The sequence below is a fragment of the Homo sapiens genome, chromosome 3 (genome assembly GCF_000001405.40).
Source record: "Homo sapiens chromosome 3, GRCh38.p14 Primary Assembly".
Classification (NCBI taxonomy): domain Eukaryota; kingdom Metazoa; phylum Chordata; class Mammalia; order Primates; family Hominidae; genus Homo; species Homo sapiens.
The window spans coordinates 97,894,962-97,914,998 of NC_000003.12; the positions used below are offsets into that span (position 1 = coordinate 97,894,962).

Genomic DNA, 20,037 nt, shown 5'->3' on the forward strand with positions numbered 1-20,037 from the left:
TGCTATTTTGTGCCCTATGAAAACAATTATTTGGAATACTTTCTGTACCTTCACAACCACAGTAGGAGTGAAGAAAGAAAAAGCAGTAGTAGGCAGCCCTCCTAGGCTTTATTTTGTCAAGCTCCTGAATTTCAAATTTCCCAACCCTGGAGCTCAGAAATAGTCATCCTTGGAATCTGCACTATTGGAGGGCATCTCAGTCTAACTATGCAGTGTGGCTAAGGGCGGATTTGAGAAGGCCAACTTGTTTTATGAGCCATCTATGCCCACATTGCATTAGATACTGTGGATTAGTTTATAAAAAGGTAAGTTTTATGGAGGAGCTTAATAACTCATGGTATTTATCAGTGTCTTGTACTGATAGTTTTAGATTAGAAGTCAAGAAAGTAGTGGGACCAACATTTCCCACCTGTAAGTATTTACAGATGTCCTTGTATACATGTAGGGCCCTGAAGCTAATAATAGCTCAGTCGAATTTCTTGGTTCCTCTTTGATAAACCATCTTGTATTTTGTTTTAGAACTGAAGCCTCGTGACAGATTCGCTTTATTTAAACCCTGAATCAATGTTTCATGTAAAAATCATTTTGTCATTCCAGAATGGCTTAATTAGTAAAATAAAAATGACTATCTTTGGATCTCTATGTAAATTTGTATCCTTTCTCATTGGCTATATGCACTTTGTATTATATTTACTTGACACATTGTTCTCTGACCAACTTGCGCTGTAGTATCAAGTCACACCACAAACATTTAAAAAGCATTGCTTTGTTGCAGTTCTATAATTAACCTTTTGTTGGGAAAAGCCTCCAAATTATAAAAATTATTGATCTATGAAGCACACACCATTTGTCTATCTTTATAAATGAAACAAAACTAATGTGTTGCTTTTTACAATATGGAGATGAACCACTATGAGCTTTATCTTGATTGTCTCTGTTTTGCTTTCTTGACTACAGTTTTATTAATGGGTCATTTGGGTGTCCCCTGTATTTCTAGGTGGGTTGCCTATGAAAAAGAACATTTTAAAGGCCAGCAGTTTCTGCTTGAAGAAGGAGACTTTGAAGACAGTAATGCTTGTGGTGCATTAAGTAGCCCTATCTTGTCTTTCCGGTACTTACAAGCTGTGAGTTAGCTTCCTTATCCTTAATTTTCTACCTTTTAAAAAATCTGTTCACAAAAATTGGACATGACTCCTGATAGAACATGAGATTATAAAATATTTCTAACACCCAAGAGTATTAACCTCAACTGCTTATGCAACTTGCCTGTTTTTCTGAACTGCCATGATTATTATGGAATTTTTTTTAACTTTTCATCCATTGTTTCCGTAATCATCTTTTGAGTACCTTCTTTGTTAGATGCCAGGAGTGGCCAGACTCAACCCCCACATTTACACAGCAGGCAGTCTGGTAAGGAAGATAGCACTTATATAAATGTTTGGTATTGCTTGGCTATGATTGTATTAAGTACAAAGTACTCAGGGTCCCCAGAAAAAGATCAGTTGGTCAGTTATCCCCACTTGAATAGAGAGGGCTTCATGGAAAAGATGACAGCTGGCTGAAATTTCAAGTTCAAAAAAGAGTTAACCAAGTGAAGAAGTTCTAGAAACAGGGTGAAGGAAAAAGGTAGGTGCCTGTTTAGCAAGAGATTAACATGTTAATGTGTAAAGTCAAGGTTATAACCCATTGATTCTCAGCTGGGGGTGATTTTACCCCTTAGGGGGCCTTTGGCAGTGTCTGGAGACATTTTGGATTGTCATATCTGGAGCAGTGGTGCTACTGACATCTAGAGGGTAGAGGCAACGGTTGCTGCCAAACCCTTACAATGTGAAGGACAGCCCCCAACAACAAAGAATTACACGGTCCCCAGTATTAATAGTGCTGAGATTGAGAAACCCTCCTGTAAGTGAAATTTTGCCATGTTTAGGGAAATGTGGTTAAGTCGGGATGTTAGGGAGAACTTTGGAAAGATGAATCTAAAGTGAGATAATGAAGGGCCATATTGAGTAGTTATTTTTATTTTTTTTTTAAGGAGAGGACCAAAAGGAATATAGCAGTATTTAGGCTCCAGGGACTAGGGAATTTTTATTCCTTGACTTCCTCAATAACACTTTATTGGTGTCCTTGTTTTTCCTTAGTTCTATACTAGATTAATTTTATATTTGCTTTTGTTGCGATTTTCAGACTTTACGCCTCTTTTCAGATCTTTGACATTGAGTTGGTATGCAGCGGAGACCATTGTTTATCCTAAATTAATGGATACATAAGATCTCCACCGATGTCTCATATCACATTGCCCTCTGGAGATTGTAATGCAGGGACTCAGTTGAGAGATTTTATGGAATTTAAAAGTAATCAAATTACTGATCCTTAAGACTTATCTTTGGGCCTGAAGCAATTGCTCAGTGGTGTTCTCTTAGTAGTAGGGAGTACTGTACCTGAGATTCTACTAACTTATGCAAGTGCTTTAAAATATAAAATGGAATACAGTTTTTAAGGTTGTTCATCATTGTTCCTTATTCTCAAGCAGAAGAGCTACATTTAAATCTAGGTGACTTTGGAAGTTACTTAATTGTGTAGAAAAGCAGCGATGGTAGTAATCTAGTAATCTCATAGGGCTTACCCTGGACTTTATTCTGTTAGTTTGTTAAAAACTCTTAATTATATTTAATATTCCATCAAGTAACAGATGAAGTAAAAGGCTTATTAAACCATTTTTTTGGACATACTTACATTGTTTATAATTTTTCACTATTGTAAATAATGCATTTTTGCATACAAGTTTCTCACCATTTAGTTCCCTTAGGAGACTTTTCTTAATTCAAAAAGGAATTACAGGGTCAGAGAGTGTGAACAGTTTCTTTTAAAACTATTTTTTAAGTCATTTTCTAAAATAGATGTTTAATCTTGTTTCCATGAGCAATATGTTTTGACAAAACGGAACTTTTAGATCTTTCTTTAAGAAATGAAAGTTTTGGGCTGGGCACGGTGGTTCATGCCTGTAATCCCAGCACTTTGGGAGGCTGAGGCGGGTGGATCACGAGGTCAGGAGATCGATATCATCCTGGCTAACACAGTGAAACCCCATCTCTACTAAAAATAGAAAAAATTAGCCGGGCATGGTGGTGGGCACCTGTAGTCCCAACTACTCGGGAGGCTGAGGCAGGAGAATGGCGGAAACCTGGGAGGCAGAGGTTGCAGTGAGCTGAGATCACACCATTGCACTCCAGCCTGGGCAACAAGAGCGAAACTGCTTCTTGAAAAAAAAAAAAAAGAAAGAAAGTTTTATCTAATTGTTTTAGTTTGAATTTCTTTAATTTACTAATGAAATTAGACATTTGCATATTTGTTATTTTCTCTTTCATGAGCTGTCTTTGTCTTTTGCCGGTTTATCTGTTTGAGTCATAGAGATTTTCTATCTTTGTTTTAAATGTGTTGACTCACTATAAATTTTTTAAATTTCCTCTCATCATTTTAAATTTTAATGAGCATTTTTTGTTAAGCAAATTATATCTATTTTTCCTATTACATTTAAGCTCATAAAATCCTGTCACACATTGCCACAGTACACTATTTACTTTTGTTTCATATAGTTTTTATTCCTTAGGCACAAGTGAGACTAGTTTCCTTTGCAATTAATGTTGCTTGTGATAGCCTATAAGTCTCAGCAATTTACTGTTGACAACTTTCTATTTATACAAAAATGTAATATCTTCCCAATTAAAGTAAATTCAGGCTGATTTTTTCCTTTAAACTATATGGAAGTAATAGCTATAAAATTGTTTCCAGGGCCATCTAAAATTCTTCCTGGAGTTATTTGTGTAAAAATTACCCCATCAGTATGTGATATTTTGCTAGATAATAGCAGTCCATAAAACAGAATATGTATGTTTTCCTAAACTTTCCTCTTTCTCCTTTTAGAATTTTATAGAATCTTCTGTCACACTATTTGAATCTGACCTAGAAAGTGGGAAGTTTATTGACATTACAAATCAGGAAATTTCTGATTTGGAAGAAATTGGCTTTGGCAGTAAAACAAGATCCATTCATGTTAAAAGTGGAGTGTAAGTTGCCTCCTCTAAGAACCTTGAGAGTCTTTGGTGTTTAAGATTGTTGTTTGCTCAATTGTATATCACTTGTTTTTATTTTTTTGTTTTTTCTTTTTTCCCTACTAGATGGGTTGCCTACCAGCAAAAGTTCTTCTGTGGAGAACAATACATTTTAGAAAAAGGGAAATACAAATGCTTTTTTGACTGGGGAGGATCAAATAATATAATCATGTCGATACGGCCAATCCAACTGGTGAGTGAAGTATGAACATAGCCAGTGCTGCATCATGTAATAGTATGCAATTAAATATGTGGAAAACACTTTTTAAAAGTGGAGTTGTTGAATGATGTCATGTGTGTATATAGAAAGAAAATGCAATATCACTTGAATTTCTATAGACTCCATAGACAGTAGTAGATATTAACACATGAATGAGATGGCTTTGTAATTTGATCAGTTCATTCACTTAACAGCATTTATTTAGTGTCTCTGATGTGTTGGACACTATGCTAATCACTGGAGATAAGAATTGAATAAGACTGTCCTGATGGTTCTGTCTCCCAGGGGAAATAGATGTATGGACAATTAATGATAGTATGATTAGTGAGAAAATGAAGTGTGTAGGCAGTGCAGGGGAGCAGGGAAAAGGAACAATCAGTGCCTGGGGAATTGAAGACCTTGCCACAGAATAGGATGTGTTGGTGAATTGAGTGATAGTTTAAAGGATAAAACCAATTTTTCTAGGCAGAAAGGGCATTTCACAAAGAAGGAATAATCTCCTTGTATGCAAATTCATGAAGTTGTAGAAGAGTGTGGCCAGTTTGGATAATAAACCCTGTAGAACAATAAGAGTGCCCATGAGATAATGTTCAGAAATTCACACTCCTTCTTTGTAATGGGCACTAGGCCATATTTTTCTTCCACCTACAATATTACTTAATATGAATTAGTTATAAATACCAAAATTATTATAAGAGAATTCAGTAGGTTATTTGAGATCCATAGCCAGTTCAAAGAGTCTCATAAATAGGTCAAACCATGAAAAAAATTTTTCAAGCTGGGTGCAGTGGCACAGGGGTGCAATCCTAGCACTTTGGGAGGCCAAGGTAAAACATCCCTAAAGCCTAGTAGTTCGACACCAGCCTGAGCAACACAGTGAGACCTCGTCTTTACAAAATTAAGCAAAATTAACTGGGCATGGTGGCACATGACTGTAGTCCCAGCTACTTGGGAGGCTGAGTTGGGAGGATCGCTTGAGCCCTGAAGATCAAGGGTGCAGTGAGCTGAGACTGTGCCACTGTACCCCAGCCTGGATAACAGAGGAATACTCTGTCTCAAAAAAGAAAAGAAAAAAAAATTTTTTTCAAAGGGTATTTTCAAAACTTTCAAAAAGACAGATTATGTGATTACAATTTTGAAAATGTTTTAATATGTTTTTCAGGAACCACTTGGGATAAATGAACCTCCGCATTTGGTATGTTTAAAAATATTCTTGTAATTGTTAAATTGTTTACTAAAAGCATTTATACCCTTTCTCTCAAATCTTTCTCTTTTCTGCAGATAACTTTTATGTGTCTCTCTGGCAGAGCAGATTACAATTGCATTTGGTACCTATGAGCAGAAGAATTCACATCTTTGTCAGTGGTTGTATTAGACTGGGTTTGTCACACTTCCTTTTGTTTTCTCCTGACAGAGCGGTAGCTCTGACCACTTTAGGGTCATTTTGAACTTCTGGCACTCTTTCTTTCCCATCGTCCATTATTTCTTCAGTGTCACATTCTTCATAGAATATTATATTTATTTCTGGAAGAGCAAACTTACCATGGAGAAGTCACGTCTTGGCATGCTTATTATGTACACGTATTTCTAATACCTATAATCAAATATTTCTGAGCTAGTGAACTTGAAACCCTATATTCATTTCTACTGTATTAATAGTTTGAAGGGGACTGGACAATACTTTGGAGCCCAACATTTGCTTATTTTCTATTGAGGGCTAGAAATTGTGCCTATTTAACACTTCTAATTCAGAAGTCCATAAGGTCAGTATTACTCCCATTTATAGACAATAAATCTGAGATTCAGAATACAAGTAAGTGCTATACACACAACTAGAAGTAGCAAAAGAGACATTTCTAGTATGGACCGCACTTGACAAAACCACATGTTCAGGGTTTTACATCAAAGAAAGACATAATCATGATACGAGCAGTACAACTATAGAAGGAAGAGGGGGTGAGAGACATTGTTTCGTTTTATTTTAAATTACAAATTCAGAAAAATTGTTGTCAAAAAGCCAAATATAGTAATTACTTTTAAATATTTGGCATTTGCTGCCTTTACATAATGCTCAGTGTTTTTCTCTGAATGTGTGTGTTTTTCTCTGAATGTGTATGTTTTTCATATTCATGTCAGTGTTTATTTCAGACCAGCTTAGTTTTACCAGGTTTGCATTCACAATGCTTTCGGGTTTTATTATTTTCTGATTAGCTCAGGCCTATTGGGAACATTTCCTTTCTGAATATAATTGAGTTGTTGTATTTAGAGACACTTCCTGCCAGATTTTTATGTTGAAATTTTGAAAACTCCCAACTGTGGATTTTTAAAGTATTTTTTCACATGAATCAAAATAACATGAGTAGATAGAAGAAAGAGAAGTTATTTCAAACTGCACATTTTTTGAGTTCTAAGTACAGATAAAAAGCCTCATTTTTTAAATCTCTGTTTCTCCTGCTCCTACCTCCTTGTTCTTTTTTTATGGACTTCCTTGTTTGGGGCAGATTGCTGGGAGGATTTTCTTGATAGTATTTCCAGTCTAACTTGAAGAGAGGAAGCAGCAGAAAACGCCCAGTGAAATCAGCTCCACTTCATTTTTCTGGGTATGGCTAAGTTATTGCCTTGTGAAATAAGCATTTCTGACAGGTATATGATAGCTGGATATTTGGTAACACATGAACAAAACATTCTTGCTTTACCCAGTATCAAAGGTCTTGTTATTTTCAGTGGACCAATTTTCAGACATTCTTCTTGTTTATGCTTACTTAAACAAACAGATCTTGGCTGACACGCTGGTTCCGTTCAATAACTAGAAAGTATTTTCAACAGGCAGTAGTTACAAAAGTCAGATTGGCAATACAGATGCTGTGTTCAGATGGGGTACTAATTTTCCCTGAGGAATAAGGAGGAAGTTTCATTTCAGAGCTCAAGTCAGAGAGGGAATTTTTTTATGCTGGTGATTTTAAAGGGAACCTCAAGCAACCTAAGAGGGGAAAAGCCAGAAAATGTATGTGTGTAGGGATTAATATACATTATGAGTGTTATGGTGATTAAAAATATTGTTGCTGACCTGGAAACATTATGATGAGATATGGCTTATTTGAGATATTGGTGGAACATCACTTTTTATTTTTTAATTTTATTTATTTTTTGTTTTGGGATTAGGAAAGTTTTATTTTATTTTAATTTTTTGTCTTTATTTCTTCTAAAAAAAAAAAGCGGGATACATGTACAGAACGTGCAGGTTTGTTTTATAGGTATACGTGTGCCATGGTGGTTTGCTGGACCTATTGACCAGTCCTCTAAGTTCCTTCCCCTCGCCCCTCACTCCCCAGCAAATCCTGGTGTGTGTTGTTCCCTTCTCTGTGCCCATATGTTCTCAATGTTCAACTCCCATTTATGAGTGAGAACATGCAGAGAACACCACCTTTTATTGAGAAGATTTTTTTTTCCTGAAGACTGAAGGTTGGTCGCTATGTCTAATTAGCAACTCAAGATATACAGGATCGCTATAGAATTCTTCACCATTAGCAAGTGACTTTTTTTAATTTTTCCCCCAAACAAAACAAAAACCAAACAGAATATGTATTATCTGCATGTCGTCATCATCTCTCTTACAGCAAGTCCTGAATATCTGAAATCTAGCACTAGATTAAATCTTATAACAGTGAATTTAGTTTTCAGAGGAGGTTGTAGTTAGGCATCATTCTCTAGAAATTCTAACCAGTTCTCCCCTTTGACTCAGCCAAGTACCTTTTGTTTCTAGAATCTTTTTAAAGTCCATTTCCAGATATAATTAAATGTTTGGATTTATTTAAACATTGAGCCCCTGTTCCATTTTATGCATGATTCTCACCAAGAAAAGCAACTAGGCGTTTTCTTATATTGGATAATTTAGCCTCACTGAATTTTAAAGTGATCACAGGATCTGTAATAATTGTTGCTACTGTTTTCATGTATGGGGGATAGGAAAATCACAGCTTTAGGCAAATACAGTAAGATTCACAAGCAGTAAAGAGAAAACACTTCTTTGTGGCACTTTAACCAGATCATTTTTATAGGAGCCAAATCACAGAAATACTTAGGAAGAATTATTTCAGTAAAGAAAGCCTTTATGGTTAATAAGGGAAATGAAATCATTGTAGAATATATAACCAATATGAGAAATATATAACACTACAATATGAGAAAGATGTGATGTAATAGAAGAATGGAAATAAGACTTTTCCTTAATAATCAACATATTTCTATGAGGGAGGCTCAAAGGGCTAGAGAAAGTCTTATTTAGACAGGGAAGAAAGTTTCTCATAGAAACTATTTTAGTATTGGAGTAACTAAAATTACATTAAAAATAATGCTGATATTGTAGAATAAGTGAGCACAGCTGTGTTTTGTCAGTAGTTCATTGCATTTTTAGTTTGTCATATTAAAGATATATATTACCACATATTGTTAGTATATAAGTGAAAATTATGTAGCAAAAAGAATTTCTGTAAAATCTTCATAATATAGTGGAGATAATTTCTGCTCAATACTGGTAGTTCTAAGAAAGAAATACAATAATACATGTGAAAAGCAAACCAGAGGAATACTTTTTTTCCTTCGCTTCCATTTCCAGTTGGGGAGCTGTTAGGGATTGAGCCGTACCAACATGGCACAGAAGGATGGGTGTAGTCTGGAAAACACTCATCTCTTATTTGTCAATTTGCCTCGGTTTTAAGCAACCTGAGTTGTTTTGTATATTTGTTATCGATTGTTCTGTAAAGGTAGCCAACATGGTCATTTATCCAGCTAGTTTTTCCAAGGACTGAATTTCTCCAAGGCTCTGTCCTTAATTTCACCAACAGTAGAAACCACAAGTTAATTATTATAATCAGCAAGCTCAGAGTTGGTTTCTCTATGGACAATCCTCAGAACATTATTATGAGAATTGTTCTATTTTGAGGATTGATAAGGTGATCAAAGTGAGGCATATTTTTGTAGAATTGGTCTAATTCTGGGTGAATCATATACCATATCTCATCTAGTCAACTCAGATAAGCATTTAACCCAGTTTTTAAAGTTTGGACAAAGATTATTTTAACCCATCAAATCAAGAGATACTTTATAACATTATTTCTGCGTGTGTATATGAATTTTAATTGATTTTTCCGGGTATGAAGACTGAGACAAAAAACTGGAGGTGGCTACTGTATATACCATCTGAAATATGCTTCACTGGCAGTATCAGTAGTCCAGGATTTGATGTTTCATGGCTTCATTGTGAAAATGTTGAAGTATAAATCTTCAGCTCAGCAGTATACAACTAATAAACAAACTGGGAATGTAGTTAGTGAACAAGACAACCTGTCTCTCTTCTCATGCGGCTTTTCTTTTATTTTTATTTTTTTTATTTTTTATTTTTTTATTTTTATTTTTTTTTAAGTTTCTGAGTCTTTTTTTTATAATCTTTTTTTTATTATTATTATACTTTAAGTTTTAGGGTACATGTGCACCTTGTGCAGGTTAGTTACATATGTATACATGTGCCATGCTGGTGCACTGCACCCACTAACTCGTCATCTAGCATTAGGTATATCTCCCAATGCTATCCCTCCACCCTCCCCCCACCCCATGACAGTCCCCAGAGTGTGATATTCCCCTTCCTGTGTCCATGTGATCTCATTGTTCAGTTCCCACCTATGAGTGAGAATATGCGGTGTTTGGTTTTTTGTTCTTGCGATAGTATAGTTTACTGAGAATGATGATTTCCAATTTCATCCATGTCCCTACAAAGGACATGAACTCATCATTTTTTATGGCTGCATAGTATTCCGTGGTATATATGTGACACATTTTCTTAATCCAGTCTATCATTGTTGGACATTTGGGTTGGTTCCAAGTCTTTGCTATTGTGAATAATGCCGCAATAAATATACGTGTGCATGTGTCTTTATAGCAGCATGATTTATAGTCCTTTGGGTATATACCCAGTAATGGGATGGCTGGGTCAAATGATATTTCCAGTTCTAGATCCCTGAGGAATCGCCACACTGACTTCCACAATGGTTGAACTAGTTTACAGTCCCACCAACAGTGTAAAAGTGTTCCTATTTCTTCACATCCTCTCCAGCACCTGTTGTTTCCTGACTTTTTAATGATTGCCATTCTAACTGGTGTGAGATGGTATCTCATTGTGGTTTTGATTTGCATTTCTCTGATGGCCAGTGATGATGAGCATTTTTTCATGTGTGTTTTGGCTGCATAAATGTCTTCTTTTGAGAAGTGTCTGTTCAAGTCCTTTGCCCACTTTTTGATGGGGTTGTTTGCTTTTTTCTTGTAAATTTGTTTGAGTTCATTGTAGATTCTGGATATTAGCCCTTTGTCAGATGAGTAGGTTGTGAAAATTTTCTCCCATTTTGTAGGTTGCCTGTTCACTCTGATGGTAGTTTCTTTTGCTGTGCAGAAGCTCTTTAGTTTAATTAGATCCCATTTGTCAATTTTGGCTTTTATTGCCATTGCTTTTGGTGTTTTAGACATGAAGTCCTTGCCCATGCCTATGTCCTGAATGGTATTGCCTAGGTTTTCTTCTAGGGTTTTTATGGTTTTAGGTCTAACGTTTAAGTCTTTAATCCATCTTGAATTGATTTTTGTATAAGGTATAAGGAAGGGATCCAGTTTCAGCTTTCTGCATATGGCTAGCCAGTTTTCCCAGCACCATTTATTAAATAGGGAATCCTTTCCCCATTGCTTGTTTTTCTCAGGTTTGTCAAAGATCAGATAGTTGTAGATATGCGGCGTTATTTCTGAGGGCTCTGTTCTGTTCCATTGATCTATATCTCTGTTTTGGTACCAGTACCATACTGTTTTGGTTACTGTAGCCTTGTAGTATCGTTTGAAGTCAGGTAGTGTGATGCCTCCAGCTTTGTTCTTTTGGCTTAGGATTGACTTCGCAATGCGGGCTCTTTTTTGGTTCCATATGAACTTTAAAGTAGTTTTTTCCAATTCTGTGAAGAAAGGCATTGGTAGCTTGATGGGGATGGCATTGAATCTGTAAATTACCTTGGGCAGTATGGCCATTTTCACGATATTGATTCTTCCTACCCATGAGCATGGAATGTTCTTCCATTTGTTTGTATCCTCTTTTATTTCCTTGAGCAGTGGTTTGTAGTTCTCCTTGAAGAGGTCCTTCACATCCCTTGTAAGTTGGATTCCTAGGTATTTTATTCTCTTTGAAGCAATTGTGAATGGGAGTTCACTCATGATTTGGTTCTCTGTTTGTCTGTTGTTGGTGTATAAGAATGCTTGTGATTTTTGTACATTGATTTTGTATCCTGAGACTTTGCTGAAGTTGCTTATCAGCTTAAGGAGATTTTGGGCTGAGACAATGGGGTTTTCTAGATATACAATCATGTCATCTGCAAACAGGGACAATTTGACTTCCTCTTTTCCTAACTGAATACCCTTTATTTCCTTCTCCTGCCTAATTGCCCTGGCCAGAACTTCCAACACTGTGTTGAATAGGAGTGGTGAGAGAGGGCATCCCTGTCATGTGCCAGTTTTCAAAGGGAATGCTTCCAGTTTTTGCCCATTCAGTATGATATTGGCTGTGGGTTTGTCATAGATAGCTCTTATTATTTTGAAATACGTCCCATCAATACCTAATTTATTGAGAGTTTTTAGCATGAAGGGTTGTTGAATTTTGTCAAAGGCTTTTTCTGCATCTATTGAGATAATCATGTGGTTTTTGTCTTTGGCTCTGTTTATATGCTGGATTACATTTATTGATTTGCATATATTGAAACAGCCTTGCATCCCAGGGATGAAGCCCACTTGATCATGGTGGATAATCTTTTTGATGTGCTGCTGGATTCGGTTTGCCAGTATTTTATTGAGGATTTTTGCATCAATGTTCATCAAGGATATTGGTCTAAAATTCTCTTTTTTTATTGTGTCTCTGCCTGGCTTTGGTATCAGAATGATGCTGCCCTCATAAAATGAGTTAGGGAGGATTCCCTCTTTTTCTATTGATTGGAATAGTTTCAAAAGGATTGGTACCAGTTCCTCCTTGTACCTCTGGTAGAATTCGGCTGTGAATCCATCTGGTCCTGGACTCTTTTTGGTTGGTAATCTATTGATTATTGCCACAATTTCAGATCCTGTTATTGGTCTATTCAGAGATTCAACTTCTTCCTGGTTTAGTCTTGGGAGAGTGTATGTGTCAAGGAATTTATCCATTTCTTCTAGATTTTCTAGTTTATTTGCGTAGAGGTGTTTGTAGTATTCTCTGATGGTAGTTTGTATTTCTGTGGGATCGGTGGTGATATCCCCTTTATCATTTTTTATTGCGTCTATTTGATTCTTCTCTCTTTTTTTCTTTATTAGTCTTGCTAGCGGTCTATCAATTTTGTTGATCCTTTCAAAAAACCAGCTCCTGGATTCATTAATTTTTTGAAGGGTGTTTTGTGTCTCTATTTCCTTCAGTTCTGCTGTGATTTTAGTTATTTCTTGCCTTCTGCTAGCTTTTGAATGTGTTTGCTCTTGCTTTTCTAGTTCTTTTAATTGTGATGTTAGGGTGTCAATTTTGGATCTTTCCTGCTTTCTCTTGTGGGCATTTAGTGCTATAAATTTCCCTCTACACACTGCTTTGAATGCGTCCCAGAGATTCTGGTATGTTGTGTCTTTGTTCCCGTTGGTTTCAAAGAACATCTTTATTTCTGCCTTCATTTTGTTATGTACCCAGTAGTCATTCAGGAGCAGGTTGTTCAGTTTCCATGTAGTTGAGAGGTTTTGAGTGAGATTCCTAATCCTGAGGTCTAGTTTGATTGCACTGTGGTCTGAGAGATAGTTTGTTATTATTTCTATTCTTTTACATTTGCTGAGGAGAGCTTTACTTCCAAGTATGTGGTCAATTTTGGAATAGGTGTGTTGTGGTGCTGAAAAAAATGTATATTCTGTTGATTTGGGGTGGAGAGTTCTGTAGATGTCTATTAGGTCCGCTTGGTGCAGAGCTGAGTTCAATTCCTGGGTATCCTTGTTGACTTTCAGTCTCGTTGATCTGTCTAATGTTGACAGTGGGGTGTTAAAGTCTCCCATTATTAATATGTGGGAGTCTAAGTCTCTTTTTAGGTCACTCAGGACTTGCTTTATGAATCTTGGTGCTCCTGTATTGGGTGCATATATATTTAGGACAGTTAGCTCTTCTTGTTGAATTGATCCCCTTACCATTATGTATTGGCCTTCTTTGTCTTTTTTGATCTTTGTTGGTTTAAAGTCTGTTTTATCAGAGACTAGGATTGCAACCCCTGCCTTTTTTTGTTTTCCATTTGCTTCATAGATCTTCCTCCATCCTTTTATTTTGAGCCTATGTGTGTCTCTGCACATGAGATGGGTTTCCTGAATACAGCACACTGATGGGTCTTGACTCTTTATCCAATTTGCCAGTCTGTGTCTTTTAATTGGAGCATTTAGTCCATTTATATTTAAAGTTAATATTGTTATGTGTGAACTTGATCCTGTCATTATGATGTTAGCTGGTTATTTTGCTCATTAGTTGATGCAGTTTCTTCCTAGTCTGGATGGTCGTTACATTTTGGCATGATTTTGCAGCGGCTGGTACTGGTTGTTCCTTTCCATGTTTAGCGCTTCCTTCAGGAGCTCTTTTAGGGCAGGCCTGGTGGTGACAAAATCTCTCAGCATATGCTTGTCTGTAAAGTATTTTATTTCTCCTTCACTTATGAAGCTTAGTTTGGCTGGATATGAAATTCTGGGTTGAAAATTCTTTTCTTTAAGAATGTTGAATATTGGCCCCCACTCCCCTCTGGCTTGTAGGGTTTCTGCCGAGAGATCCTCTGTTAGTCTGATGGGCTTCCCTTTGAGGGTAACCCGACCTTTCTCTCTGGCTGCCCTTAACATTTTTTCCTTCATTTCAACTTTGGTGAATCTGACAATTATGTGTCTTGGAGTTGCTCTTCTCAAGGAGTATCTTTGTGGCGTTCTCTGTATTTCCTGAATCTGAACGTTGGCCTGCCTTGCTAGATTGGGGAAGTTCTCCTGGATAATATCCTGCAGAGTGTTTTCCAACTTGGTTCCATTCTCCCCATCACTTTCAGGTACACCAATCAGACATAGATTTGGTCTTTTCACATAGTCCCATATTTCTTGGAGGCTTTGCTCATTTCTTTTTATTCTTTTTTCTCTAAACTTCCCTTCTCGCTTCATTTCATTCATTTCATCTTCCATCGCTGATACCCTTTCTTCCAGTTGATTGCATTGGCTCCTGAGGCTTCTGCATTCTTCACGTAGTTCTCGAGCCTTGGTTTTCAGCTCCATCAGCTCCTTTAAGCACTTCTCTGTATTGGTTATTCTAGTTATACATTCTTCTAAATTTTTTTCAAAGTTTTCAACTTCTTTGCCTTCAGTTTGAATGTCCTCCCGTAGCTCAGAGTAATTTGATCGTCTGAAGCCTTCTTCTCTCAGCTCGTCAAAGTCATTCTCCATCCAGCTTTGTTCCGTTGCTGGTGAGGAACTGCGTTCCTTTGGAGGAGGAGAGGCGCTCTGCTTTTTAGAGTTTCCAGTTTTTCTGTTCTGTTTTTTCCCCATCTTTGTGGTTTTATCTACTTTTGGTCTTTGATGATGGTGATGTACAGATGGGTTTTTGGTGTGGATGTCCTTTCTGTTTGTTAGTTTTCCTTCTAACAGACAGGACCCTCAGCTGCAGGTCTGTTGGAATACCCTGCCGTGTGAGGTGTCAGTGTGCCCCTGCCTGGGGGTGCCTCCCAGTTAGGCTGCTCAGGGGTCAGGGGTCAGGGACCCACTTGAGGAGGCAGTCTGCCCGTTCTCAGATCTCCAGCTGCGTGCTGAGAGAACCACTGCTCTCTTCAAAGCTGTCAGACAGGGACATTTAAGTCTGCAGAGGTTACTGCTGTCTTTTTGTTTGTCTGTGCCCTGCCCCCAGAGGTGGAGCCTACAGAGGCAGGCAGGCCTCCTTGAGCTGTGGTGGGCTCCACCCAGTTCGAGCTTCCTGGCTGCTTTGTTTACCTAATCAAGCCTGGGCAATGGCGGGCACCCCTCCCCCAGCCTGGCTGCCGCCTTGCAGTTTGTTCTCAGACTGCTGTGCTAGCAATCAGCGAGACTCTGTGGGCGTAGGACCCTCCGAGCCAGGTGCAGGATATAATCTCGTGGTGTACCGTTTTTTAAGCCCGCCGGAAAAGTGCAGTATTAGGGTGGGAGTGAACCGATTTTCCAGGTGCTGTCCGTCACCCCTTTCTTTGACTCAGAAAGGGAACTCCCTGACCCCTTGCGCTTCCCAAGTGAGGCAATGCCTCTCCCTGCTTCGGTTCGCGCACGGTGCACGCACCCATGACCTGGGCCCACTGTCTGGCACTCCCTAGTGAGGTGAACCCGGTACCTCAGATGGAAATGCAGAAATCACCGTCTTCTGCGTCACTCACGCTGGGAGCTGTAGACCGGAGCTGTTCCTATTCGGCCATCTTGGCTCCTCCCCCTTCTTTTATTTTTTTAAAGATATTTCTATGCAGGAGAAATGTCTCTGCATTTTTTGGAGGTTAAAAGTGATTTGCTTTTTAGCCTCACATTTTATACATCTTTAAGTTAAAAAACCTAAGTATGTCTTGGTTTGGACTTCATTTCTTTGCTATCCTCTATATCTGCTAGGACTACAGCAGAAACTTGCTGGATCACATCTCCTTAAGGCAAGAAGTCCCTTGATGTTTTAATCCTCCAAATACAGTGTGGTTTCACAGTAGGAAGTGGTGTTGTGCAAGCCACAGATGATATGGGGAAGTAGTTTTCTCACCTCCCTGATTTTGACTGATCTTTGATAACAGATCAAGTAAGGTCAGAGCAGAATGAGATAACCAAGAAACAATTCTAAGTAGAGGCCTTTGGGAAGACGAGGGAGGTGAACATTAGCTGCTCAGAAAAGCCTTATCCTCGATGACAGCATGAGCAGATGGTTTGTTGTGATGTTCTGTGCCCTAGTGCAGGCCTGTCAGTGCAGGGTGGACCTGTGGGCCATGTTGTTCCAAGTCTCCAGTGTGTTATGAAATTTTTACGGGCTCTTTAATTTTTTTCATTCCTATTGTAGATTCAAGGCTACTAGAGTTGCAGATTATTATATATCTGGTCTAAAGGGAATTATAGTTGAGATTTCATGGATTTTTCTTGACAAAATTGACTAAAGTAGACATGTAGTTGTATATAACTGTAAGCTGCACATTTAAGGTATTCTTATCAGAAAACCGAAGCCTGTAAGCTGAAATACATAACACAGATATCTTTCTTTCTTCACCAGAAATCTTCCACTAATCCCGTCATTATTATCTCCTCTGCCATCTGCTTCTGTGCCCTCCTGGGCACTCTTAGTGCTTGCTTAAGGGCATGTGCTCGTGCTCTCCTCTTCTTATATTAACTGTGGATCAGGAAGAGCTAGGGAGAGAAGCAGCATACCATGTAGCCTCATACTAATCTAAGCCTCTTTCAGGTTTAGCACTAAATTGCTTCTTATTTTATACATCTAGTCTCAACATAGGGCATAATGATTTTTTGAGAGAATAAAGGACCACATGTTAGTGGAGGGAGGACTCTGATGTACTCTTCTAGGTAGAATTGATTTCTAGGCCTCTCTTCCCACAATTTGGTGGAAGAGAGGCAAGAAAATGGTAAACAAACAGTGACATTCCATTCCTGAATACATGTAAGAAAGCAAGTTTAAGGAGCATATCATTATCCCTAACATGAATTCATTGATAATAGATAAAACATGAGTCTGATATTTTGCTGCATTTTATAAATTCATGAAATTAAAGGTTTTTATTTGCTCGTGATCATCTAAGACCATTTTTTTTCTATTTAACTGTTGTGTTGTTGTTCTTGTAGCTCAAAGCATTCAGCAAACCAGGGTTCCAAGGTGAATGTATAGATTTTACAGAAGAAACTTCTGATTTGACTTCACTCATGCCATGTTCTTTTAAAGTTCTTCGAGGTTGGTAAGTATGCTTACTTAGTGGTTTCTGCTGTTATTTAATAACTAATACTTTTAAATTTACAGAGATATATTTTTTGCATGCACAGTGAATCCTTAAAATTTATCTTCAACAGGCATTTTACCTGCTAACTGGTCTATATTAATTTTGCTTAATTTGTATTTTGAGCTGTGATGGAATACAGAAAAACAGAATGCTGATTAACCAACTTAGGGAACATTTTGATTTTTGTCTCTCACTGTGATCTCAGATTATTTCCTAAATATTTTGAATGTTTATATTGTATATTTACCGTCTCACATAGTAGAATGCTATAAAAATACCTGGTGTTTTTATTCAAGTAAGACATATTAATCCTAATTTTTTTAACCTTTTAACAAAGTATTTATCATCCCCATTTCACAGATGCAGAAACCAGGTTCAGAGTTAAGGTTTTCCAAGATCACATACCAAATTTCAGACCCATGATTCCTTTGGTCTTTTTTTTTCTCATCTCTGAATCTGATATTCTTCCAATGGCAACAATATACTGTATATTTTTCACGTGTATATGAAACTACATGTGATTCCCATGGCTAAAATATATTCTACAATTTTTTTATTGTGCTAAAATATATGTAACATAAAATTTACCATTTTAACTATCTTTAACTGTACAGTTCATTGGCATCTCTATGTATCAAACATCTACCTAATAACCTATCAAAGTCTCTCTTTTCTTTTAAAATATCTTAGGTTTGTCAGTTTTCCTCCTTTCTCCCTTGAATCATTAGAGACCTGGGCCTTCTATTTTTCACTTGAAAAACTTCAGTCTCTTAATTACCCCCTGCTTCAGTGTCATCTTATTTCTAGTGTTTACCCCAAACAAATCACAGTACAATTATGTGTCCCAAAATCCAGTTTAATATTTTTACTAATGCTTTAATTCCCAGCCGTTTTCTAGTACCAGTCCGATCAAGTTCAAGCTCTTTCTTTTCTTGACCTTACCATCAACTAGCCTCCTTTCCCTATCCATTTCCCATCCTATTCTCCTCTCTTCTAACATTTGCTTTCCTCCGTACCCACTATACCAGGGGTCAGCAAACTTTAACTATAAAGAATCAGATAGTGAATATTTTTGACTTTGTGGGTTCCACAGGCTCTGTCCCAGCTACTGTCAACACTGCTATTAGATGTAGCACAAAAGCAGCCATACACAATACACAAACCAATAGGCACAGCTGCGTTCCAATGAAACATTATTTATGGACATTGAAATTTTAATTGTATGTAACATTTACATGTCATGAAATAGTCTTCTTTTAAATTTTTAAGCCCTCTGAAAATGTGAAAACCAGTCTTAGCTTATAGGCTGTTTGAAAACAAGCAGTGGGGCAGATTTGGCCCACATGCTGTAGTTTGCTGACACCTGTTTCATACCAAAGGTTGGAGGTCTCTGGTAAATCTAGCCAGCAGGTGTCATTTGTTTGGGCTATACACTAAGTTAAAAAAATTGTATTAATACTTACGTTTAGGATATTTTTCAGAAGAAGCTGTTTTCCACCTTCTCTTTAAAAATCAGAAGATTTTACGACTTGGAGAAAGCTTTTGTCTTTGTCGGTAATTAGCTGGTAGTGAGTAGATTGCATATGTGCTTTCCAGCATACCATAATCACCACCATTCCCAATTTTTTTCCACCTGGTACACTACTCATCTGCATTACCTGTGTGGTCTCCTGCAGGTATATAAGCTTGTGACCCCTGCTTAATAATAATTCAGATATATTCTTTAAGGTTCAGTCCACTCTATTATTTCTGTTCACCTTCTTGATTAACCCTAAATCAAGCAGTCCTTTCCTTCTCCTATTTCCTATAGCTGTTCTGCCTTGAGCCTCCTTGTATTTGTTTTTGTTTATATACTTACCTCTGAAAAGGAAATGAGAGTTTTACATTAAAACACATAAAGTAGGGCAGTATAAGTTAAATAGAGATCTGCAACTCTAATAAGAAATACACACACACACAGCAAGGACCTGAAATAATTTTGTTACTATTATTTGGCTCTAAGTTCCTTCTCCACTAAGATAAAAGAAAATATTTTACAAGATTTAGGATCATTGTTAATGAGAAGCATTGAAGTTTTTCTGGAGGAAAATGTATTTTTCTTGACACTGAATTCTAGGACAAACTAGTCACACATGTCTCTTCATGTAGGAAACATACAACAGCAGGATAAAAGAATACAAGAACTATGGCCATTGTGTAAACACCTGGAATGTGTGAGAGACCTGGATTTGAGCCCAGTTCCACCATTTTCTAGCTATATAACTTTAGGCAAAATGAGTCATCGCTCTGAACCTCAGCTTCCTCATCTGTAAAGGAGGGGTAATAACGGTACCTACCTCAAAGGTTTCTTACAAGGGCTAAATAAAATAATGCACTAGCTTTATGCCTGGCACACTAGAAACCTTTGATAAGTGTTGATTATGAAATGCTTATTACATTAGAAGACATGACAGTAAATTATAATGTCACACAGCATTTCTACGGTTTTCCAAAGTTAAACTGGTCTAGCAAGAGTGCAGTTCTGGTGATCTTAAAATACAGGGCTAGAACTTAACCACACCAAAACTAAATTAGTAACAGCCATTTAATTTTTCCCTTGGGCTCCTTCTTTTCAAAAGGCTGTGTTTAGCAAACTTTTGATGAATGCTGTATTGAAGATAACTCACTATTGAAGATTCTA

At 37.3% G+C, this 20,037-nt stretch overlaps 1 protein-coding gene across 3 annotated transcripts in view, besides 3 other annotated features; it reads left to right on the plus strand.

Moving 5' to 3' along the window:
* Nucleotides 1-20,037, plus strand: part of CRYBG3 (crystallin beta-gamma domain containing 3) — a 122,974-nt gene that overhangs the window by 72,951 nt on the left and 29,986 nt on the right. For 2 of the 3 annotated variants that reach the window (NM_153605.4, XM_005247117.5), the window contains 5 exons: nucleotides 998-1,124; nucleotides 3,922-4,064; nucleotides 4,176-4,302; nucleotides 5,492-5,524; nucleotides 17,206-17,315. In NM_153605.4, the coding sequence (NP_705833.3) occupies nucleotides 998-1,124; nucleotides 3,922-4,064; nucleotides 4,176-4,302; nucleotides 5,492-5,524; nucleotides 17,206-17,315 (540 nt within the window). Of the gene's footprint in view, nucleotides 1-997; nucleotides 1,125-3,921; nucleotides 4,065-4,175; nucleotides 4,303-5,491; nucleotides 5,525-17,205; nucleotides 17,316-20,037 lie in introns of those variants that run through there. The other variant, XM_047447439.1, reaches the window with a different exon arrangement.
* Nucleotides 968-1,759: an enhancer, noted in NCBI's record as "OCT4-NANOG hESC enhancer chr3:97614773-97615564 (GRCh37/hg19 assembly coordinates)". NCBI's record gives its function as "activates a minimal SCP1, AML or CMV promoter by ChIP-STARR-seq in naive and primed H9 embryonic stem cells {active_cell/tissue: H9 hESC(naive and primed)}" and the evidence as "EXISTENCE:reporter gene assay evidence [ECO:0000049][PMID:30033119]".
* Nucleotides 14,901-15,491: an enhancer, noted in NCBI's record as "OCT4-NANOG-H3K27ac-H3K4me1 hESC enhancer chr3:97628706-97629296 (GRCh37/hg19 assembly coordinates)". NCBI's record gives its function as "activates a minimal SCP1, AML or CMV promoter by ChIP-STARR-seq in primed H9 embryonic stem cells {active_cell/tissue: H9 hESC(primed)}" and the evidence as "EXISTENCE:reporter gene assay evidence [ECO:0000049][PMID:30033119]".
* Nucleotides 15,492-16,081: an enhancer, noted in NCBI's record as "OCT4-NANOG-H3K27ac-H3K4me1 hESC enhancer chr3:97629297-97629886 (GRCh37/hg19 assembly coordinates)". NCBI's record gives its function as "activates a minimal SCP1, AML or CMV promoter by ChIP-STARR-seq in primed H9 embryonic stem cells {active_cell/tissue: H9 hESC(primed)}" and the evidence as "EXISTENCE:reporter gene assay evidence [ECO:0000049][PMID:30033119]".